This window comes from Homo sapiens, chromosome 2 (assembly GCF_000001405.40).
Source record: "Homo sapiens chromosome 2, GRCh38.p14 Primary Assembly".
Classification (NCBI taxonomy): domain Eukaryota; kingdom Metazoa; phylum Chordata; class Mammalia; order Primates; family Hominidae; genus Homo; species Homo sapiens.
Genome location: NC_000002.12, coordinates 207,334,342 through 207,359,748, shown reverse-complemented (window position 1 = coordinate 207,359,748; position 25,407 = coordinate 207,334,342). Strand labels below are relative to the sequence as shown.

The 25,407-nt window shown below is 41.0% G+C and overlaps 1 long non-coding RNA gene across 1 annotated transcript, besides 1 other annotated feature; it reads right to left on the bottom strand.

The window, feature by feature from the left end:
- Nucleotides 1-1,229: 1,229 nt before the first annotated feature.
- On the bottom strand, nucleotides 1,230-25,389 carry LOC105373851 (uncharacterized). Its single transcript, XR_923809.3, has 4 exons — nucleotides 25,067-25,389; nucleotides 19,499-19,531; nucleotides 16,223-16,469; nucleotides 1,230-7,911 (listed from the first exon to the last, which is right to left on the bottom strand). It is a non-coding gene; the product is annotated as an uncharacterized LOC105373851 (long non-coding RNA).
- Nucleotides 24,767-25,176: an enhancer, noted in NCBI's record as "active region_17035". NCBI's record gives its function as "activates an Ori minimal core promoter by ATAC-STARR-seq in GM12878 lymphoblastoid cells {active_cell/tissue: GM12878}" and the evidence as "EXISTENCE:reporter gene assay evidence [ECO:0000049][PMID:35858748]".

The window sequence follows — 25,407 nt, the reverse complement described above, 5'->3', positions numbered from 1 at the left end:
CTTCTAGGGGCATCCATTCTGATATCTTGCCAACAGAGCACCCCAGAAGTATGGGTTTTCCATTAAGGTGACTGACTTCTCCTGGAGTGGAAGCCTAGACTAGCATATAAGCATATCTGACAGACTAGGCTGAAATCCTTCCAATTAAATTGCAGACATATTAATAAATATGCAACAAAACTCCAAGCAATGTACTAAAGCTGTCACTTGCTTTACGTATTTTAATTACATATTGTGATGCTTATAGCCTCAGGCTTGTTACAAATGATAATTTTTTCAAATCAAATAAAGAGAAAATATAAGAAGAAGAGGGGGGAAGAGAGTAGAAAGAAAACAAACAGCGACAGAAATAAATAGAAACTGAGGAAGAAACAGAGTGGTAGATTTGGGAATCAGGCTCTGAGCGAGACACACAGAGAGAACGAGAGATTAGGACCAAAATAGTCGTGCATCCTCAGGTCGCTCATTTTTCTAATTTCCATACAATCCCTTCAAGGACCTCCTTTCTATTGGCGAAGAGTAACATGTCTGTCTCGACAAAACTATCCCCAGCCAGGCTGGAGGGATCACTGAAGTTCAACAGAGATGTATGCTGAGAGAATAACCTTAAGCTGACTCTCCCTTCCTGGGTCTGGGAGGCTGCTGTTGTGCTGTTGGTGCGGTGGGAAGCATCCTCCACAGGACAGGCCCGGAAAGCTGCAGCGACACAGCATCTGGGGGCAGATCCAGTGGCCCTTTCACGGGGTGGAGCAGATGGCTGTCTGTGGGCAATGATGTGAGGGGGCTAGCCAAGGCCCTTCTTACTTCACTATTTCTGCTCATTGCGTCTTGGCTTTGCCACCTAGGGTTATGTGATGTTGGACAAATTACCAAACCTTTCTGGACCTCAGATTCTACCTTTAAATAAAATGAGGTGTATTGAGGACTACTGTCATAGTTGTAGGTTCCAGGACCCCCACAGGTACCAAAATCCATGGATGCCCACGTCCCTTATATAAAATGGTGTAGTATTTGCCTATAACCTACATGCATCCCCCTGTCTACTTTAAATCATCTTCAGATTGCTTATAATACTGAATATAATGTAAATGCTATGTAAATAGTTGTTATACAATATTGTTTTAAATTTGTAATTTTTATTGTTTTTTTTAATTTTGTTTAATTTTTTGGAATATTTTCAATCCATGGTTGAGTCTGAAGATGCAAACCCGTAGATATGAGGAGCCAACTGTAATGCCATAACTATATGAAGACTCCTGTAAACACTTCTTTCATTTTTTACTTTTTCTTTAATTCTGTTTTTTTTTTTTTTGTAACAGTTTTTTTTTTTTTCAATACGAGTACCTTGTTAAAATGTCAATAGCCCTGGGAGAGGTACATATGGACAGTTTTTCTCAAATACCCATCAAAGCACCCCTAATGGAGGAGGAAAACAAACATTGTGTCCCCCTGAGATCTAGGCAAGGAGTGGGAAGCTCATGCCTCAAACTCAAAATGTATTTGCAGTTTTAAGTTTTATTTTGAAAGTCCATGAATTTTGCGTTTTACTACAAGTTTGCGTTTTACTCTAGTTTGTAATGCTCCAAAAATAGTGCCATTTCCTCTTCTATTGGCACTCCAGGAAAATGTACCATGGGTTTTCCTGTGCTTCTTGTCCTCCTGCATGTCACCTTGTACTCCTCAGAGTCTGTAATCCCTGCTTGAGTAGAGTGAACTTACCTTATCAGCTAATGTGTTGTGTTGACAAATAAAGCTACGAGGGAAATGGGATACCCGAAGATGACTCCGGTTTTCTCTTGGGCCCATTGGGCCTGGTATTATACCCAGACTACTCTAAATCTCTGGATGGAAACCATGCTGATTTCATTTCCAGACAGAGGCAAAAAGATGATAAGAGAAGAAGTGGGTTAGAGAACTAATAGTTTTCTGATGTTCTCAGCCTCCTGAAAATTTGATTTTAGACTTGAGGTCTTCTTGGCCACGTGAAGAAGGCTGAGGGATTCCAGTCCTCTCAATGATCATCTTTACTAAATTCAATTATCCTGAGCTTATCAGAGAGGGCCAGAACTTGGGAATGGTACTTGAACCTGAAGTATCCTTTCGGGTAATATTTATAGTTTTGGGGCCCCTGAAGTTCTCAAGGACCTCTGGTTCCAAGGTATAAGCATTACTTTAAGATGGTCATGCCAAGTGAGAAGACATCATCTCATCTTCTGGGGACGTTAAATTCATGATCCTGCTGTCATGAAAAGGTACTAAGAAGTTAAACATTTATTGGAAGAGGATCTTTTTAGAGTCATCTCTCAACAAGTTCTCTTATGCTGCACAGATTGTCTCAATCATTACTAACAGATGCATCTGCAGCAAAAGACAATTTTGCAAGCCCAGGCAGAAAAGAACTCTTGCTTTTCTGAAATCTTTCCCCTGGCTCATACTAAAACTAGCCAGGACAAGAGACATAGCAAAGTTTATTAGGGACGGTTCCCTGGAGGGGAAAATAATGGGGATAATGAGACAAATATTCTTAAGGCATCCAGGGGGCTTCTGAAAGAAGCAGACTCTGGTCCACTGAAATCGCTGTTGGAGAAATGGTTTTGCTATGCACAGTTTTACACAATGTGTTCTGTTATGTTACATTCCAAATACATTTGAAATTATCTAAAGGGGTGCTAGTCACGTTTAAAAGCGCCATCGCCAGAAGTAGCCAACTGAATAACAACATAGATCACCCTTACTGATATGGATGGGGTAACACAATCGTTTCCTTTGTGGGTAAAATTCACCTGGGCCTCAGAAATGGCCAGAGTGAGCACTGCTCACGTTTGGAGCCAGAACAGACTGCAAGGATAGGGATTTAGGGGAGTCAAGAAAGGAGAGCTCTCATTTCTGCCTCAAGCCTGGTTCTCTTTAAGAAGTTAGAGTGTGGGCTTGGGGAAAATGTGCTGAGACAGCAATTCTGTTTGGGAAGTTTGGGAACTGCCCCATTGTAAAGTCCAGAGATGAAGAAAGGAACTTTCATTTATTCCAAGTGACACTGCAGGGTCTTGTTTAGCTTATGTTTCCTAGGGCACTGTTGCTAGCCATGAACACAGATCATATAATAGGAAGGTGTGGGAGAATGTTCTGTGTACCAACCAGGGAGACTTCATGTTTCTCTCCTGGCCATCTTATGGCTTTTATGCAGGCCATCTTCCTACATGCCAGGCCCTACGGGAATGTAAAGTTGAGTAAATCTGCACACATATTACATGGGAGGAGCTCCCAGTCTTTTGTAAAAGATTTATGTAGTGGCATTATATAGTGGCTAGAAGCACATATGGGGCATGATAGTGTAGTGTTTAAGCTCATAGGCTTCTAAAGTTAGACTGCCTGAGTTTATACCCTAGAATGTCTCCACTAATTAGCATCTCAAGCTCACTGAGTCTCAATTTTACCATTTGTAAAATGGGAATAGTAGTTGGACTGGCTACAGGATTTTTTTGACCATAAATGATCTGACAAATGTATAGTGCCTGATCCATAGTAAGCATTCAAAAAGTGAGGCTATTATTATTTATAGAAAATCTATAGTAGATTATTGACATTCCTGAAGGAAATGCATATAAGGAGACCTTTTGTAATCCCTTGAGAATAATGCCATAACATAGCCATGGAAGCAAAATTTTAGAAGAGGCAACTAAGCCTCAGTAAGAAATTTTGATTGTACAAACCAACCAACCTTCTTCCCTAGAAAATGCAACATTAGAGAGAGTTCTCAGCAAATGACAAATTGCTTCTTGCCATGGACTTTTGGAGTTAGATGGGTCTAGTGCAAATTAGGGCCATTAAATTCCTGAGAATGTAGAAGGTCCATAAGAGTAAAGTCATCACAGAGAAATGCAATTCGCTAGGGGAGCAACGGGGTGGGATGCACCCAACAAACTGTCTTGTGACAAACTTGGAAATTCCAGCTTTGCCTAAGTTCCTAGGTGAGAAGGTAGTTGTCTGGGGCTTCAGGAGCTGCGCTGGGGTTACGAGTTGTTGGCTGACCCAAACCTAAGGTGTATGTTGTGGGGTGGCAGGCGGGGAGAGAGAGAGAGAGGGAAGGAGAAAGTGGGAGGGAGAGAGGCAAAGTGAGTGAGCATTTTGATGGTGGGCCTGTGGACTTCTTGGTCAACAGGGAGGTAACTCATAAGGATGTCGAGCCAATTCAGACAAACTCTACTACAGATTCAATCACAGACTGTATGGAATAACTTCCTTAGCTCTTATTATTAATCTGAAAAGTTCAGATAGCCGCCTAGAGTAGGACAGTGAAGCCACATTTTTGTGAGGCTGAATTAGACCATTAGACTGTCTGGCATTCTATGATGCTCTGTAGACACTTCCCGTTCTTCTGAGAGAGGTGTTTATGCTCTGTCTGATTCTGAATGACCATAACTGGACACTTTTACATAACCCTGACATTGAAGGGTAGAGCAAGTTCAAGGCAAAGTGGAACTCCATACCCAGTTGGCCTTCAGTGAACTAGCCTACGTTTTCTGCATAATTTTCTCTCATCTACTGAGAGCTCCCTTTCTTTTAAAGGGCTTGACACCCTTTTCTATCTTCATCCTTTTCTCCATCAATCTCTGCTTCAGCAAAATATTTGATATTAGTCATTTATATTTCATGTGAATTTAAGCCAAAACATTACTTCCCCCAGAAGTAATTTTCCCTTAGCCTCAAATATGAACTCATCTTATGTCTGGCTTTGACTTGGCTCTTATGTTCGTTGAGCCATGAAAACAACTTCAGGGAGGACATTGTAGGTTTTAGTGTGGTACAACATGGGACTTTGGTAGCAGGAGTTTTGATTCACAGGTCATACTTTGTTCAAAGAAAGTTATCTGTACCAGGAGAAGAAACATGGTTGTAAGTAAATCAAGAAAGGACCTCTATACCAAACTGGATTTAAAAGCAAAGGAAGGAGAATAGGGAAAAAGATGAGGAGATGGAAGAGAAGAAGAAGAAAAAAATAAAAAACAAAAAGAGGAAGAGAAGTAGAGAAACAATGACCACTTTCTCCTGGCAACTAAGAACAAAGAGCCCAAGGGACAATGCCCAGACAAGGGCCCTGCAGAGGCTAGAGCTGACTGGTGCAGGCAGGGGCTCAGGGAATGGCACTGATTGCACGACCCCTTTCTCTTTTCCTTTGCTTTACAAATATTTGCCTTATAAAATGACTTCAAAAGCAACTACCAGTTTCCTCATTTTCTTATTTTTTTTTTCTCAAATGTTGCTCAAATCACACATATACAAATGAACAATAAGAACAACAACATGCACACACACACACACACACATACAAACACACAATTTTAGGAATTTTCTATGACTTTCCAGCCTTGTTTGATTGTTTTCCATTCTGCTCTTTACCTAGTTATTTCTCTGCTGATTGATTTATTTGAAGATTTTAAAGGTCAAAGTTTAGTTTATTATTACCTTTAAAAATGTATGTTAAAAAATAGAACAAAGAATATCCTGAAGAACTAGCTAGGTGCTGTGCAAAGCCCAGAAGTTGTTCCAATTTCTACTTACAGGATTTAAAATCTTGCTTTTGAACAGAGATAAAAACTAGAGGGAGAAAAGGAGAAAAGAACACCATCAAAGCAAAGAAAAAGGAGGCTGAACTGTCCAAAAGTGTCGTGTTAGCTTTTTTTTTCAATAGATTAAAATAATCCAAATAACCTCTGAAACACAGCAACTTTATATATAGGGTGTGTTGAAAATGATGTATCAGCTTATAACTGTTTTTCTTAAAAAATTGCTCTTTTTGTATGTATAATGTCAAACCAATGATATTGTTGATGAGTGGGAATGTGTAGCTTGAGGAAACTTGGTACCTGAGTTACAGGTTAAAATGTAAAACTTTATGAAATAATGGCTTGTATGAAATAATGGCCTGATTTAGATTAGGCTATTGTGGCAAAAAGATCCCTGTAATATAAATCACAGTTTCCAATCAAGCTGTCCAATGAATGATTTCACTTTCTGCTGTGTGCCACTGCTTGAAGGGCAGAAAGAATTGGGGTTTCTCCCTGAAAAATGTGGGTCCCCAGGGATCTCTCTGTCTGCCACTCTCTCATGCTATATTAGTGGTAGCTTCTCTTCTTCTCAGCACTAGAATCCAACACGTCTTTTTAAAAAAAGACGTATGACTATATTTTGTTAGAGACTGTGGGAATGAAAACTGTATAACAACACTAGTCATGTGTTGCATGTTTCATATGCTCCAAGCACAGTACCCGGAGCTGTACATTCATACTTCGTTATCCCCGAACCTCACAAGTCAGCCAGCTTCTTTAGCGGTGCTTCCAATCCGTGGAAGAGAAAGCCTTCCTGTTTAGGCTCCAGGCTCATCTTTTTTCCTATTAGCAAGGTCCTTTCTATACATTGGTGAAGGCATTCACTCATGGTCAAGCTGACAGTGGGGTTGGTAGTGTGGGAGACAGGGACTTTAACAACCTCGGAGCCTCAGAGTGTTAGAATCCTGCAAGCAGGATTGGTGTTAGCCCTCAGAGTGTTAGACTTCTGCAAGCAGAGGCAGGAAGCAGATCTGGGTCATGTGACTGCCTCCCCAAACAATGCAATCCACCTGCAGATGGTGCTGGGCAGTTTCTGTCTTAAAGTTGAGCCCTACTCTCTTATGTTTGAGCTCTCTGTCTGAAGAACAGATGGAGAACATCAAAGTTTTTCTGTTTTTGCCATGTCGTGATGTGACTTGTGTTTGAATATCCTCACTCACTTTTTCGTCCTGGGCCGTGTGCCACTCGCTGGCCCCTTATAAGTAGAACTTTAAGGTGGTGCCTGGAATGATTGTGGGTTTTTAGTTTGAAATTCAGTGGCCTGTATTTGAACCTCAGCTTAACCACTTATCAATCACATGACTCTGTGCAGCTCACTTCTGTGAGTCTCAGGAGCCTCCTTCGAAAAATGAGGATTAAACAAGGCATATAACATTATGCAAAACACTTAGTGTAAGGCCGGGCACAGTGGCTCATGCCTGTCATCCCAGCACTTTGGGAGGCTGAGGCAGGTGGATCACCTTAGGTCAGGAGTTTTAGACCATCCTGGCCAACATAGTGAAACCCGGTCTCTACTAAAAACACAAAAAGTAGCTGGGCATGGTGGTACACGCCTGTAATCCCAGCTACTTGGGTGGCTGAGGCAGGAGAATCGCTTGAACCTGGGAGGAGGTTGCAGTGATCCAAGATCTCACCACTGCACTCCAGCCTGGGTGACACAGTGAGACTCTGTCTCAAAAACAAAACAAAACAAAACAACACTTAGTGTAGTGCCTGGCACTTAGTAAGCATTCGGGAAAAGTTACTCATAATTGTTATTCTGATCATTAGCCTGAGAGCCTGTATGTAGCCTGTGGTACATGGGCTACATGCTTTTGAATGCAGATTGCTAGCTTTGTCAATCATGTAGGAAATATGCTGTGTAAGGAATATTTTCCTTTTGTAGCCACACAGATGTGACAGTCTTGCCCTTTGTTTATCTTTTCTTTCTTATACTATTTAAGGCTCTCTTAAGGTATAAGCTATTAGGCAGTTATACACACACACACACACACACACACACACACACACACACGAATAAATAAATGAGGTTGGGCATGGTGGCTCACACCTGTAATCCCAGCACTTTGGGAGGCTGAGGCAGGCAGATCACTTGAGGCCAGGAGTTCAAGACCAGCCTGGCCAACATGGCAAAACCCCATCTGTACTACAAATACAAAAATTAGCTGGGCATGAAAGAGCGTACCTATAATCCCAGCTACTCGGGAGGCTGAAGCACGAGAATTGCTTGAACCCAGGAGGTGGAGGTTCCAGTGAGCCAAGATCACGCCACTGCATTCCAGCCTGGATGTAAGTGAAACTCCATCTTAAAGAAAAAACAACCACAACAAAGACAAACAAACAAATGCCAAATAAATTAGTAAAATAAATGTAAATATACAATAAAATGTTATATATTTATAGTAAATATATAAAACTGCTATCATACTTACATTAGAATATGATGTTTTATGAAGCATATCCATTGTTTTTTGATCTCATCAAACATACTACAGAAATTATAGGTTGATTAGTATCTTTCTTTGGGCACAAAAGTGGTAAACAGTGTGGCACTGGGGCCTTGAAAATGTTACCCCAAAGTACTTGGAACTGCAGGAGATTGGGAGGGCCTCAGAAATAAGAAGGTCACTGTGACCTTACCCTGCCTTTCTGTGTGAAGCATGGTCATAAAAGAATTCTCCAACCTACCTTGCTTGAAAGTAGGACATAAGGCTCTCATCCCAGGGTGACGTGCCCCATACTCAGGGAGAAGGTATGCTACATAGAGGCCAAGAAGAATCTGAGCAAACAGGCCTTCCTAGGTTCCCTTCTCAGTTGATTACCAGTAGGTCAGATCTTTCTAACCATGTTTCTCCATAACTATTTACTTCTTTCATCAGACTTAGCATACAAGTACAAAATTTTCCTGGGTCTTCAGGTCTTCATTTCTGAAGGCTCCTGTGTCAAGTAAAACTTTGCTAAATAAATTTGTTGTGCTTTTTTCATGCTAACTTGTCTTCTGTCATAGGACTGTTGGCCATGACTCTTGTGATGGGTGAGGAAAAGGTGTTACCCTTTCTTCCTTACAGTGGTAAAGTGAGTAATTTGCATTTAGAAGCATGCCATATACCATGCTACATATGTGTGTGTGTGTATTTATATGTGTATATATATATTTGGTCACGTTAAATCAAGAAACTTAAAAAGTAATTTAGTCTAAACTGTCTTAGACAGAAATAAGTTGACTATTCATTTTTGGTGTCATGAACATTGCAGAAAACCTAGTACTAGTTAATGTGGTTAATACAATTATTTCTGAGATTCTCCCATGTCTAGAGGAGTGGCTTCCTCCTGAAAATTTGCCATTTTGTCATCTGAGTGCTTTGATTCAGTCAATTGTGAGAACTTTGTCTTTTGATAAAGCAATTTAAACATGGATTTGTTATATGGAAAGAAGAACTTTCTCTAAATTCTCTTCCTGAGGAAGTTGATCCTTTGAACATGGTATTATTTTTCCCTCAAAGGATTATTTCCTAAATAAGGAAACTTAGTTTTCCATAAAGAACCTCTAAATTTGTTGAAAACTGTTTTTTTATTATTATTATACTTTAAGTTCTGGGATACATGTGCAGAATGTGCAGGTTTGTTACATAGGTATGCATGTGCCATGGTGGTTGGCTGCACCCATCAACCTGTCATCTACATTAGGTAATTCTCCTAATGGTATCCCTCCCCTTGCCCCCAACCTGCTGACAGGCCCCAGTGTGTGATGTTCCCCTCCCTGTGCCCATATGTTCTTATTGTTCAACTCCCACTTATGAGTGAGAACATGCGGTGTTTGGTTTTCTGTTTCTGTGTTAGTTTGCTGAGAATGATGGTTTCCAGCTTCATCCATGTCCCTGCAAAGGACACAAACTTATCCTTTTTTATAGCTGCATAATATTCCATGGTATATATGTGCCACATTTTCTTTATCCAGTCTATCACTGCTGGGCATTTGGGTTGGTTCCAAGTCTTTGCTATTGTGAATAGTGCTGCAATAAACATATGTGTGCATATGTCTTTATAGTAGAATGATTTATAATCCTTTGGGTATATAGTCAGTAATGGGATTGCTGGGTCAAATGGTATTTCTAGTTCTAGATCTAGATCCTTGAGGAATCGCCACACTGTCTTCCACAATGGTTGAACTAATTTACACTCCCACCAACGGTGTAAAAGCGTTCCTATTTCTCCACATCCTCTCCAGCATCTGTTGCTTCCTGACTTTTTAATGATCGCCATTCTAACTGGTGTGAGATGGTATCTCATTGTGGTTTTGGTTTGCATTTCTCTGATGACCAGTGATGATGAGCTTTTCTTCATATGTTTGTTGGCCGCATAAATGTCTTCTTTTGGAAAGTGTCTGTTCATATCCTTTGCCTGCTTTTTGATGGAGTTGTTTGTTTTTTTCTTGTAAATTTGTTTAAGTTCCTTGTAGCCCTTTGTCAGATGGATGGCTTGCAAAAATTTTCTCCCATTCTGTAGGTTGCCTGTTCACTCTGAACAGCTGTGCAGAAGCTCTTTAGTTCGATTAAATCCCATTTGTCAATTTTGGCTTTTGTTGCCATTGCTTTTGGTGTTTTAGACATGAAGTCCTTGCCCATGCCTATGCTCTGAATGGTATTGCCTAGGTTTTCTTGTAGGATTTTTATGGTTTTAGGTCTTATGTTTAAATCTTTAATCCATCTTGAGTTAATTTTTGTATAAGGTAAAAAGAAGGGGTCCAATTTCAGTTTTCTGCATATGACTAGCCAGTTTTCCTAACACCGTTTATTAAATAGGGAATCCTTTCCCCATTGCTTGTTTTTGTCAGGTTCGTCAAAGATCAGATGGTTGTACATGTGTGGTGTTATTTCTGAGGCCTCTGTTCTGTTCCATTGGTCTATATATCTATTTTGATACTAGGACCAAGCTGTTTTGGTTACTGTAGGCTTGTAATATAGTTTGAAGCCAGGTAGTGTGATGTTTCCAGCTTTATTCTTTTTGCTTAGGATTGTCTTGGCTATATGGGCTCTTTTTCGGTTCCATATGAAATTTAAGGTAGTCTTTTCTAATTCTGTGAAGAAAGTTAATAGTAGCTTGATGGGAATAGCATTGAATCTATAAATTACTTTGGGCAGTATGGCCATTTTCATATTATTGATTCTTCCTATCCATGAGCATGGAATGTTTCTCCATTTGTTTGTGCCCTCTCTTATTTTTTTGAGCAGTGGTTTGTAGTTCTCCTTGAAGAGGTCCTTCACATCCCGTATAAGTTGTATTCCTAGGTATTTTATTCTCTTTGTAGCAATTGTGAATGGGAGTTCACTCATGATTTGGCTGTCCATTTGTCTATTATTGGTGTATAGGAATGCTTGTGATTTTTGCACATTAATTTTGTATCCTGAGACTTTGCTGAAGTTGCTTATCAGCTTAAGGAGTTTTGGGGCTGAGATGATGGGTTTTCTAAATATAAATCATGTCATTTGCAAACAGAGACAATTTGACTTTCTCTCTTCCTATTTGAATACCCTTTATTTCTTTCTCTTGCCTGATTGCCTGGCCAGAACTTCCAATACTATGTTGAATAGGAGTGGTGAGAGAGGACAACCTTGTCTTGTGCTGCTTTTCAAAAGGTTCCAGCTTTTGCCCATTCAGTATGATATTGGCTGTGGGTTTGTCATAAATAGCTCTTATTATTTTGAGATTAATTCCATCAAGACCTAGTTTATTGAGTGTTTTTAGGAGGTGTTGAATTTTATCAAAGGCTTTTCTGCATCTATTGAGATAATCATGTGGTTTTTGTCATTGGTTCTGTTTATATGATGGATTACATTTATTGGTTTGCATATGTTGAACCATCCTTGCATCCCAGGGATGAAGCCGGCTTGATCGTGGTGGATTAATGTGCTGCTGGATTCAGTTTGCCATTATTTTATCGAGGATTTTCGCGTTGATGTTCATCAAGGATATTGGCCTGAAATTTTCTTTTTTTTGTGTGTGTCTCTGCCAGGTTTCAGTATCAGGATGATGCTGGCCTCATAAAATGTGTTAGGGAGGCTTCCTCCTTTTTCTACTGTTTGGAATAGTTTTAAAAGGAATGGTACCAGCTCCTGTTTGTACCTCTGGTAGAATTTGGCTATGAATCTGTCTGGTCCTGGGCTTTCTTTGGTTGGTAGGCTATTAATTATTGCCTCAATTTTAGAACTTGTTATTGATCTATTCAGGGATTCGACTTCTTCCTGGTTTAGTCTTGGGACAGTGTATGTGTCCAGCAATTTATCCATTTCTTCTAGATTGTACAGTTTATTTGCATAGAGGTGTTTATAGTATTCTCTGATGGTAGCTTGTATTTCTGTGGGATCAGTGTTGATATCCCCTTTATCATTTTTTATTGTGCCTATTTGATTCTTCTCTCTTTTCTTCTTTATTAGTCTGGCTAGTGGTCTATCTATTTTGTTAATCTTTTCCGAAAACCAGCTCCTGGATTCATTGATTTTTTTGAAAAAATTTTTTTTGTATATCTCTATCTCCTTCAGTTCTGCTCTGACCTTAGATATTTCTTGTCTTCTGCTAGCTTTAGAATTTGTTTGCTCTTGCTTCTGTAGTTCTTTTAATTGTGATGTTAGGGTGTCAATTTTAGATCTTTCTCGCTTTCTCCTATGGGCATTTAGTGCTATAAATTTTCCTCTAAACACTGCTTTAGCTGTGTCCCAGAGATTCTGGTATGTTGTGTCTTTGTTCTCATTGGTTTCAAAGAACTCATTCTTTCTGCCTTAATTTCATTATTTACCCAGTAGTCATTCAGGAGCAAGTTGTTCAGTTTCCATGTAGTCATGCAGTTTTGAGTGTGTTTCTTAATCCTGAATTCTAATTTGATTGCCCTGTGGTCTGAGAGACTGTTTGTTATAATTTCTATTCTTTTATATTTGCTGAGGAGTGTTTTACTTCCAATTATGTGGTCAATTTTAGAATAAGTGTGATGTGGTGCTAAGAAGAATGTATATTCTGTTGATTTGGGGTGGAGAGTTCTGTAGATGTCTATTAGCTCTGGTTGGTCCAGAGCTGAGTTCAAGCCCTGAATATCCTTGTTAATTTTCTGTCTCATTGATCTATCTAATATTGACAGTGGGGTGTTAAAGTCTCCCACTATTATTGTGTGGGAGTCTAAATCTCTTTGTAGGTCTCCAAGAACTTGCTTTATGAATCTGGGTGCTTCTGTATTGGGTGCATATATATTTAGGATAGTTAGTTCTTCTTGTTACATTGATCCCTTTACCATTATGTAATGGCTTTCTTTGTCTTTTTTTATCTTTGTTGGTTTAAAGTCTGTTTTACCAGAGTCTAGGATTGCAACCCCTCCTTTTTTTTTTTGCTTTCCATTTGCTTGGTAAATCTTCCTTCATCCCTTTATTTTGGGCCTATGTGTGTCTATGCATGTGAGATGGGTCTTCTGAATACAGCACATGATGGGTCTTGACTCTTTATCCAATTTGTGAGTCTGTGTCTTTTAATTGGGGCATTTAGACTGTTTACATTTAAGGTTAATATTGTTATGTGTGAATTTGATCCTGTCATTATGATGCTAGCTGGTTATTTTGCCCATTAGCTGATGCAGTTTCTTCATAGTGTCGATGGTCTTTACATTTTGGTATGTTTTTGCAGTGGCTGGTACTGGTTTTTCCTTTCCATATTTAGTCCTTCCTTTAGGAGCTCTTGTAAGGCAGGCCTGGTGGTGACAAAATCCCTCAGCATTTGCTTGTCTATGAGGATTTTATTTCTCCTTCACTTATAAAACTTAGTTTGGCTGGATATGAAATTCTGGGTTGAACATTCTTTAAGATTGTTGAATGTTGGCCCCCATTCTCTTCTGGCCTGTAGTGTTTCTGCAGAGAGATCCGCTGTTAGTCTGGTGGGCTTCCCTTTGTGGCTAACCCAACCTTTCTCTCTGGCTGCCCTTAACATTTTTTCCTTCATTTCAACTTGGTGAATCTGACGATTATGTGTCTTTGGGTTGCTCTTCTCGAGGAGTATCTTTGTGGTGTTCTCTGTATTTCCTGAATTTGAATGTTGGCCTGTCTTGCTAGGTTGGGGGAGTTCTCCTGGATAATATCCTGAAGTGTGTTTTCCAACTTGGTTCCATTCTGCCATCACTTTCAGGTACACCAATCAAACGTAGGTTTGGTCTGTTCACATAGTCCCATATTTCTTGGAGGCTTTTTTCATTCCTTTTCATTCTTTTTTCTCTAATCTTGCCTTCACACTTTATTTCATTAAGTTAATCTTCAATGTCTGATATCCTTTCTTCTGCTTAATTCATTCAGCTATTGATACTTGTGTATGCTGCATGAAGTTCTTGTACTCTGTTTTTCAGCTCCATCAGGTCAGTTATGTTCTTCTCTAAGCTGGTTATTCTAGTTAGCAGTTCCTGTAACCTTTTACCAAGGTTCTTAGCTTCCTTGCATTGGGTTAGAAGATGCTCCTTTAGCTTGGAGGAGTTTGTTATTACCTCCTTCTGAAGCCTACTTGAGTCAATTCATCAATCTTATTATCCGTCTTGTTTTGTTCCCTTGCTAGCGAGGAGTTGTGATCCTTGGAGAAGAGGAAGCATTCTGGTTTTTGGAATTTTCAGCCCTTTTCACGTTTTTTTCCTAATCTTTGTGGATTTGTGTACCTTTGGTCTTTGATGTTGGTGACCTTCGGATGGGGTTTTTGTGTGGTCGTCTTTTTTGTTGATGTGGATGCTATTGCTTTCTGTGTGTTGGTTTTCCTTCTAACAGTCAGGCCTCTCTTCTGCAGGTCTACTGGAGTTTGCTGGAGGTCCACTCTAGACCTTGTTTGCCTTGGTATCATTCAGCGGAGGCTGCAGAACAGCAAAGATTGCTATCTGTTCCTTCCTCTGGAAGCTTCGTCCCAGAGGGGAATGCGCCAGATGCCTGCTGGAGCTCTCCTGTATGTGGTGTCTGTCGACCCCTGCTGGGAGGTGTCTCCCAGTCAGGAGGCACGGGGGTCAGGGATCCACTTGAGGAGGCAGTCTGTCCCTTAGTAGAGCTTGAGCGCTGTGTTGGGAGATCCAAGGAGCTGGCAGGCAGGAACGTTTAAGTCTGTTGAGGCTGCACCCACAGCCGCCCTTTCCCCCAGGTGCTCTGTCCCAGGGAGATGGGAGTTTCATCCATAAGCCCCTGACTGGGGCTGCTGCCTTTCTTTCACAGATGCCCTGCCCAGAGAGGAGGAATGTAGAGAGGCAGTCTGGCTACAGGGGCTTTCCCAAGCTGTGGTGGGCTCTGCCCAGTTCGAACTTCATGGTGGCTTTGTTTACACTGTGAGGGGAAAATCACCTTCTCATGACTCAGTAATGGCGGATGACCCTCCCCCCACCAAGCTCTAGCACCCCAGGTTGACTTCAGACTGCTGTGCTGGCAGTGAGAATTTCAAGCCAGTGGATCTTAGCTTGTTGTGCTCCGTGGGGGTGGGATCTGCTGAGCAAGACCACTTGGCTTCCTGGCTTTAGCCCCTCTACAGGTGAATGAATGGTTCTGTCTCGCTGGCATTCCAGGCACCACTGGGGTATGAAAAAAAACTCCTGCAACTAGCTCCGTGTCTGCCCAAATGACCACTCAGCTTTGTGCTTGAAATCCCGGGTCCTGGTGGTGTAGGCACTGAGGAAATCTCCTGGTCTGCAAGTTGCGAAGACAGTGGGAAAAGCATAGTATCTGGGCTGGATAGCTCTGTCCCTCATGGCACAGTCCCTCACAGCTTCCCTTGGCTAGGGGAGGGAGTTCCCTGACCCCTTGCACTTCCTGGGTGACGGAACACCCACCCTGCTTCAGCTCCCTCTGTGGGATGCACCCACTGTCTAACCAGTCCCAGTGAGATGAGCCGGGTACCTCAGTTGGAAATGCAGAAATCACCCCCCTTCTGCATTGGTCTTGCTGGGAGCTGCAGACCGGAGCTGTTCCTATTCGGCCATCTTGCCCGGGAAAATCTGAAAACTGTTTTTAATAATCTGTTTCATTTCCAGTGTCAAATATCAGTGTAGAAACATATTTTTTGAGTATCATAGTTAATCCATGGGCCATGAAATGCAATACATCAAGTGCTGCATCAGCAAGAGGTGCACCTTTGTGTTCTCACTTACTGGCAGAGGTGTGTTTTTACTTGTTTGAATAAACTTTTGAAAAGTAACAATAATATAAGAATTTTAAAATTAAAAAATGGAAAGTTATTTTTTTTGAGACGGAGTCTCACTGTGTTATCCAGGCTGGAGTGCAGTGGCACCATCTCAGCTCACTGCAACCTCTGCGTCTCAGGTTCAAGTGATTCTCCTGCCTCAGCTTCCTGGGTAGCTGGGACCACAGGCATGCACCACAATGCTGGGCCAGTTTTTGTATTTGTAGTAGAGACAGGCTTTCACCATGTTGGCCAGGCTGATCTCGAACTCCCGGCCTCAAATGATCCACCCGCCTCAGCCTCCCAAAGTGTTGGGATTATAGGCATGAGCCATCGTGCCACACCGAAAGTTTGTTAATGACATTCTATATGACCTTGCACTTTACATTACAATCTGGAGTTTTTTTGAGTATGTCTATTATTTTTGTGTAAACCATCAAACATACCTCCTTACAGCAATTACAAGCTGGTTAGCATTTTTCTTTGGCCACAAAAGTGGAAGCTGTTGCTCTGTGGGCCCAGATGAAGAACAGGGTCTGAGGCTTGGACAGGAAAGTGCAAGTTGTACCTAGACAATGCTTTATGATGTATCTTGCTTCAAGGTGAAACTTAGAAAGCCTTGGAAATGTGAGCTTCTTGGTCCTCATGGCTTCCTATTATTCTACCAACTTTTTATTTTGAAAAATGTTGAACCTATAAAAGAATTGAAATGATTATAGAATCCTGCTCTGCTTTACTAGATTCAATAATTGTTTTAGCATTTTGCCACTTTGTGCTCCCCCTACCCCCACCAGGCACACACACACACATCCATGTCCCACACTCTGGATTTGTGTGGATTTTCCCTGCGTGATAAGATTCAGGCTAAACATTTTTGGCAAGACTGCAACACAGCAGAGATTGAAAAGCATTTAGAGTAGAAAGGAATGTGGACAATTGCCCTCTCCTGTGTAAGTGAAGAACTTGGGCAGGATCCTTCCTCAGATCAGGGGACAGGGTGACAGTTGCACATTTGGGGAGGGACACAGAGTGACTTAAGGAGCTAGTGGGTGTGCAGGGCGATATAGAAAGATGGTGGCTTCTGCCAAGTTGCACATTTAAATATTTAAATATTCTCGAGGCTAACACACTTATGTGTCATTGGTTTGCAAAACTCTTCCCCACTGTCTACATTTCCAAGGCAAAATCTGTGATGATGATGATGTTCCTTTCCTATCTGCTCACAATTCCTTCCAAAAATTTGTTGATCTTCCAAAAGTTTGTTTTTCACTTCAGTGATATTTTTGATCACCATTTATATCAGGTTTGACTTAAATAAAAAGGTTTGTGGTTTAGGGTAAGGAAAGGGAGGGAATCACTGTATGATTTGCCCCATGTCTTGTACTTATTAAAGTCAGCCCCAAACTTGTTTTTATTTTTCATTTGAAAACCATGATTCTCTGTGGTGAAAGGGGCAGAGGAATACTTAGGAGGGAAAATGTTGAGAAGGATTCTCCAAACTGGCATCCGAAGAAACCATGATGGAAATCTGCAAGAGGAGGTGAAGCAACTAGAAGGATGAGGTCAAATGCTTGAAGTCCTGGAGTTTCCAGGAAAGGCTGTATACAATAGATTGTTTACCTTAAAATATGACTAAAAAAGTAAGTGACCAAAAAAAATGGTAAACTTCAGAACACTTCCTAGAATTATCTAATAGTTATTAATTTTTTAAGTAAATATTTTAAAATAAATAAATGTTTATTTATTTATTTTTCTGTGTCCTGGGGCACATTACCTCTGTGGCAAAGATGTCAGAAAACTGATTTTAAAAAATACTGGCCAAGACTTGTAAACAACAATGGCAAACAGCTATCTAGAAGTCCTGGAAGAATGGGGCTTCTGGGGCCCACCCAGGCTCTAGCTGGAGTCCCCAAGCCAGATCATGGAAAGCAGTGGTAGCTATTGGGCTTTTTCCCTCTAGGTGGTTCTCCAGGCCTTACAATCTCCTCTCTCTGACAGGTAGTGGAGGCTGCAGAACAGGACAGCAACACAATAGTGAACTCTGGGCAAAGACTGAGTTTCCTAATTTTCTGCTCTTTTCAGTGGCTTCTTGAAGGTCAGGGCTGAGTTCACAGAAAAAGTGGCACAATGGCTTTAAATTAATTATTGCTATAATTTCCATTCCTGTCTTTCTTTACCTTCCATTGGCAGGTGGCTCATGCTTAAGTGCTCAAAAAGTTCAGCCCCAAGATGCCCGGGCAGCGGTTGGCATGTGAAATGAGCTATGCCCCTCGGAACACCATCCTTATCAGTAGCTGTGCTAAAGAAACATCTGCCCCCACAAAAAGTCAAGGGCAAAGGTCATCTGGCATTCCAAGGGAACTCTCCGCAGCAGGGAGCCTTCTAATTGGCTGGTATTGATCGGTAAATTGTGTCCCTGCTGTGATTAATTCCAGCCCCCCCACAAACTCCCACAGCATGAGCGTGATAGGTCAAGGTTTGGGGTTTCTAAGCATCCTTTACAAATGGACCTCAGGTCCTTAAAGGTACCAGTGAAGGATTGCAGCTTGTTAACTCTCCCTGGCTGCTAGTGCTAACCCAGGAAGCCGGTTTCATTCAGTTTCCTTGCTATCACTAATAGCAGCTTAATGGGATGCTAATGTGAGGAACAGACGTTATCTGATGGCTTGTGCGATTTATGATGGATTTATTGCCACTCTGTGTTCCCTTGGTGTTCAGTGCATCTTTTCCCCATCCATCCCTGTTATCAGCCTTAGCAAATGGTTTCATAATTAATTAATTTTTTTTTCCTGAAGGGGGTTAAATTATTTTTGCCCTGCTGCTTTTCCTCCATATTTAATTCCCAGTGGGCAACTCTTCTCTGTGTGCCTACCAAAGAGGGAATATACTAACTCACAGCTGTTCTCTCCATGGCCTCCTCTCTGCCCCATCTTTCCTGCCAGCTAATGTCTACTCATCTTTGTAGAATAGTGGTTCTCAGGCTTCACTCTTCACTGGAGTTACCTGGGCGAGCTTTTAAAATATTTAGACCTGGGCCCTATTCCCAGAGACTATGATTTAATTGTTCTGGGGTGCTGCCTGAGTATTGGGTGTTAGAAAAGCTAATTCTAATATGCATAGTTGAGGACCACTGAAGTAAGATTCTAGACCATGCTGAATGCTACCTACCCCATGGTGCTTGCTTTTTCCATGTCTCCCAGGGGGCACGATCTCCTGTTCCTTGTAATCCAAATAACGCTGTATTTGGAATCCACATAATACTTCACACATTTCCATTGGCAGCCACCTTACAGTTCACCTATTTGTGAACTTGTCTCATTGCCACTATCAGACTGTGAGCTACTTTGGGCAGGGACAGTGCTCAAACCATCTTGGTGCCATTGCAGTGCCTTGCGCATAGCAGGGATCCAGTAAGTATTTATTGACCTGAGTTTTCTACCAATGACAACACTTTTTGAGAAGTGTGCTACCAGCCCCCAGTCCTGAATCCATATTGGGCAACTGGAATGGATTCTATTTTAGGGCCCCAAAGGCAGATTTTTCCTGCCAGTGTGTCCCTGCTATCTTCTACCATCCCCTCTCACCAGGGTGACCACATGTCCTGGTTTGCTGGGGACAGTCACTGCTTATGGCTTTTGTCCACTGTTATTATGAATAGCACCTTCTTTCACTCTCAAAGGTGTCCCAGTTTGGATAACAAATTATAGGGTTCCTCTACTCACCCCGCTCCTCCAGCTCTCTTTCCTCAAGTCAGCCTAGAAAAGAAAGACTGCTTTAGAACCCATATCTTCTTTATGAACTAAGCTTAAATAAGCTTAGAAAGATCTGTACTAATACTACATAATTTTTTAATTCCATGTATAAAAAATTATGAAAACTGGTAGAACTAATCTATATTGTTAGAAGTCAGGAAAGGAGTTTTCTTTAGAGGAAAAATGCCTGGAATGGGGCACATGGGGCTGGTTCTGGGACGCTGTAGGGGTTCTGTTTCTTCATCTGAGTGTTGGTTTCACAGGTGTGTTTATTTTATGAAACTTCATCACACGTAACATTTATGCCCTTTTCTATATGTAATACTTTCATAGTTTTTTTAAAAGAGGGCTAAATTATAATCAGTACAGAACTGCAAAAGTCAATGTTTATTCTTATTAATGAGTATAACTGTTCTGATTGACAAATTCATGTCAACACCAGCAAAGTGCTGCAACACACAGAACACCCGAGAAATCTAGTGTTCGTCTTCTTGGAGACATATATTATTATTGTTTTATTAAAAATGTTATTTTTTATTAAGAAAATGTATGTTGTCAGTTAAAAAATGTAGTACAGTCTTGTTTATTATATAATTCTTCCAACAATTCTGTGAACTAGGTGAGTGTTTTCTCATATTACAGATGAGAAAGCTGTCACAGAGGTGTTGGAAATGGGCTGAGTTTATATGGACTGAACTTACCCAGAGTAGGCTGTAGAATTGCCAGGGTGTTCAGCTGTCTCAATGACAGAATCAGATTAAATGTGTGGCTGATCTTATTGATTGGGCAGAAATCAACTAAGAGAGCTTAAAACAAAACAAAATTAAACTATGACTAGAAAATAAACAGTCAATTTTGTGGCTTTAAATAGAAAAGACCAGAATGTCAATAGCTGAATTGAGATTAGGACCAACAGTTTCTGAGTTTCCAGAAAGCATTACCAAAGTCTAGGCACCATGAGAGACTCAGTCCCAAATTGAGAGAATTTGCCAGGGGTTTGACATGAACCCTGCCTTGTTTGAGCCCAGTTCTCCAAGCCCAGAGCAGGGGTTCTCCAGGATGGAATCCTCTTAGAGACTCCTCAGTGACTGTACCCATCTCCTTTCCATTCTACCCCTCTCTGTATGACCAAGAGAGAATTGTTTTCCCTTTTAGGCATAGCTAACATGGGCAAATGAAACAAATTAGTTTTCATTACTGCAGATAATAAATAAATCTTGTGGTGAAATAAATAATATAATATGTAATAATGGACTGAAAAAATACAGCTCAAAACAGACAAAGCTGGGTAAAAACAGAAACCATCAAAAGTAGAGAAAGCCAGAGAACTATCCAGTCAAGCAATAAAGCAACAACATCTGAGAGGCCTCATGTACTGTCCTGAAGTGACTTTTAGCTACTCACGCTGTGTTAACTGTTGATGAAATGTCATTGAGCTTAAAATAAAATAAGTTTGTAGTCCTAGATAACACTCTGCAAGAGCAAATAATATTAGGCCACTATACACCGATATAAATAAATAACTCATAGCAATGTACCAATATGTCAAGATTTTTCACAGGAGGGAGTATGAAAACTAGCTGGATGGTGTCAGGCTCGTTTAAAAGCTCATTTGCTCCCCTTAGTCACTGTCCTTTCACCTTTACATGGCATCTCTCCTGGTCTCTTGTCGACGTGGTTGTCAAAGCACCAGCTCAATAGTGCTGGTCTGTCAGCAGAGATGTGTTAAATGTAAAGATGGCAGAGTTCCCCACAGAAAGCTACATGCAGACTCTGGAGCCAGCTGAAGTCATGGGGCGTCAGGTGACAATGAGACTATGTCATCAAATGACATGTATCCCTGAGGTGCCCAATGAACTTTACACAGAGTTTTTTTTTTTTTTCCTATTGTATTATTCTGACATCTTGCTAAAAAAAAAGAAAAGAAAGAGGACAGACATTTCTATTCCACAGAAAGGAAAGCTTGGACTCAAAGAAGTTGCCTGAATTGCTCTAGATGACTTTATTTTTTGGGATTTCCTGGTTTCCATAAACAGCCACCCATCTGCCTACCCTCCTTCTCCCACTCACTTCTGACCACAACTGCACCCTGCTGTGTGTTAGGAGGAGCGGATTTGATGTCTCGGAGGCGAGGGGTGTGTCTGAGGTGAATGGGCATGTCTATACCTCCCTACTTTGTTAAATGATTGCAACAGAGATCACCCACGTACTCCCAGCCTGGTTCAGTGCAACACATGTCTAGTTCATTAGATGCAGCCTGTTCAGGCCTCTTCTACCTGCTGAGACTTCACACCCATAAAATCCAGTTAAACCTCTGAGTCACAGGAGGCTGCCCTATCAGAAGACTACACACTTTCCAGCTTCCCAGCTTGGGAGTCACAAGACCTGAGTTCAGATTTCAGCTCTGCCACTTACTGAGGCAAATACTTGTATCCATCTTAATGTCAGGTGGTCATGTTGAGTAACCTCTGATTTCTTATCTAAAGGGGTTTTTTTTTTAGGATAATTGAATGGAAAAACTATCTTAAATTGCTTAGTACAGGAGTCATCAATGTATAGTCTGCCTGCTGCCTGTTATGGAAATAAAGTTTTATTGGAACACAGCTGTGCCCATTCAGCTAAGGCTAGCATTTATGTTTATTGTTGACAGCTGCTTTTTTGCTACAATGTCAGAGATGAGTGGTTTTCCCACATAGTGGGTCTGCACTATGTATGAGTTGCTTACTCCTTTTCTTCTTTCTGTTTGTCCTTACTCTTAACTGTATGCTCCTAATTAGTTGCTCTCTAATTATCCAACCCCTCCCCAGAAACAGACTGACTATACTTTCTTTTAACAGTAATTTGCTGGAGAGTTTCAATTTCACTTTGGGCACTGCTACGTCTTAGTGACAATAAGTAATTCATCTGGGGTGGATGGGGGTGATAGGGTGGGGGTGGGGGTGGGAGGAGGTGAATAGGAAGCATTGTAGCTTCGTACTTTGTGAGTGGACTCAGTGAGGGACAACCACAGACACAGACCCTAGTTCAGTGTCATATCTCTATGTTTCATCAAACAACTACAGGATTTTGTTTGTTTATTGTTAGCAGGAGTACATGGTGTAAGGGCAGGTCGAAACATTTTTTCCCCTAATTTCAGTATGGTTAAAAAAAGTATATTCTCCAATGTATTGTGAGATTGATGTAGTGAAAAGATGCCTGGTAAGAGAAGTCAGAAAATCTAGGTTCAAGTCTGGGTTTATCTTAGTTTTATTATGTTGGTCAAGCCACTTCTGAGTGTCAGTTTCTTCAGAACTAAGACTGAGGGTAATAATACGACTTGATTCCTAGCATGATTCTGAAGCATAAAAGATAATGCAAGTGGAAAACTTTGTGAACTATGAGGCCATCTATAAAATGTGACACATATGTATATAACAGGGTCTGTTTCAGGGGATTTCATTATTTTCTTTTTCTTTATATTTTTATATTTACATCAAACACAGTTTCAGTTTTTACAATAGGTTCTGATATCTGACGAGGCTGATCCCTAAGAACATTTGCATTTTGCTAGTTTTCCTGTTTATAGTTTTGAATGTTTTTAATAAGATAAGCACTAAGCTTAGCAATTCGTCAGTGTTCATTCTAATGACCTTCAAGAAACGTCCCGTTGGATCTTTAGACAGAATTATTTCAGTAAGTTTGAGGAGCCTTGGCATCTTTATGTTGAATTTTTCCATCTAATAAAAATATAACTCTTCCTCTTAATTATTAAAAATATATCCCCCAATCAAGGTTTTAAAACTTTTAATACATTTCTTATTGAGTTTATAAATATTTTATATTTGTCGCTATTTGAATAGCTTTTCTTTTGCTTTATATTATCTATCTGTTTACTGCCAGTATATAGAAATACTGTTGCTTTTTAGGTATTTATCTTATTCCAAGCCACTTTATGACTCTTTTTTAAAATAAAGAAAGCTTTTAGTTAATTCTTTTGACTTTTTCAGATTTATACTTGTGTGATTTTCATGTACTTTAGTACCTTAGTTCACAAAAATTTATTCCTTTTGTGTTTATAACCTACTGCATTAACCAGAGAATCTAAAGTGATAATGATGCTAGCTGATAGTCCCAGCTACTCGGGAGGCTGAGGCACGAGAATCGCTTGAGCCTGGAAGACAGAGGTTGCAGTGAGCCGAGATTGTGCCACTGCACTCCAGCCAGGGCGACACAGCGAGACTCTGTCTCAAAAAAACCCCAAAAAACAAACAAACAAAAACCAGAAACAGTGATAATCATACTAAAGGACATTCTTTGTGTTTGTTTCTGATTTTCAATGTTTGCCAATTAATTATAATCTTTATTTACTTTAAGCCAAGAGCATCTTTATCACATTGAAGGAGCATCCTTCTATTCCTATTGAAATGTTTACTCTGTAATTAGGAAAAGGTGTTGATTTTATCAGATGTGGTATCTATGAAATTATCACATTGGCTAATTATTGTTGTATCAGTGAATACTCAGTGGATTATTTTCTCCTTGGAAATCAATCTCTGTGGTCAGCTGACTGGCTCTGCTAACAGTGACAGATGTGTAAACGGTGCCTTTACGAGTTCAAACATTTCAGGACCAAACTTTTTGCACAAGAAGGTGGTCCAATGCCAGAAGCAAGGGTTGCAGGAGTAGGAATCCCCCCGAGTTTCTCTCCTTGGACACATTTTCCAAAGTTGGCCGCTTTGAACAATCCTTTAAGGTAAGGACAATGGACATGGCAGTTGTTAACACTATGAAGAAAAGACAGTAGAGGAAGGAGCATGGAATATGGGAACAAAAATCAGCTGGCTGCTCAAGAAATGTGAAATTAGAAAGTAGAGAAAGGTGGTGTCTTTGTATATGCTCCTCCCCTCCCCTCAGCCAGGCCTAACAACACCCCAGCCGCACCCCTCCAACCAAGACTCCGCCTTGGACCCTGCTCATGCCTTTGGGCTTAAGACTGGGAGTGGAATTTCAATGCCATGGAACTCGCATTTTAAAATGCCACGCTCAAAAATATCGCCTGAAATGTAGGCAAATGAACTGCTAACATCAGTGTCTATACCGGGCTCTTGCTGGCACTCTGGCCGCGTGTATGACCTTTCAACACGATATTTTAAAAAATGAGCAGCGCTTTCCTCTTCCCCTGGCAGCTCAGAATAGCCCTGTTTCCTTTCCTATAAACAAGTCATATCTCTGGGAATTTCTAAAGCTGAATATTGTCTGCTAAGAAGACATGACTCACGCCATTTCCTGGCAGTTCTCACAAATTCAAGAACACCTCTTGAGGAAAGAATCCCAGACAAGAGTGGCCACAGAGAGCCTCGGATGCCTTCATTTCAAACACAGGAAGCTGAGAGACAAAGGAAAACACTAGGAATCGTCCCTGGCCTCGGCATTCCCCTCTTCTGGACTGAGTTCCTATTGTGGCTGTCAGAGCAGCCAGGGGACGCCCACTGGGAAACTCGTCTGGGCCGGTCTTCAGGCCTTTAGTCACTCACCCACCCCCTCCGTTTGGAAACTCACCTAGCTCAGCTTCCTCCTAATTCTCGGGGTAGAGGTTCTCTGAGGCGGGATTCCCCAAGGAAATTACCAGGAGTTCACGCACACTGGAGCCGTGGGGCTTCCTAGCTGCTTTTAGCAAAAACTCTGTGGCCAAAAAAAATCTCCTTTCTGCATTCTTTTCCCGGCACGTCCTCTCCTCCTCCACCCACTGGCCCTGTCTCTCTAAGTCCCCTCTTCAGTGCCACGTCATTTTCCTCGTATTTGCTAAATAGTCTAGAAACAAAAGAAAAAGTGTTTTACTTGGCTTCTCCCAGCTCAGCCATATAAAAACCTCTGTGTGTATGTGTGTCCCTCTGTGTGTT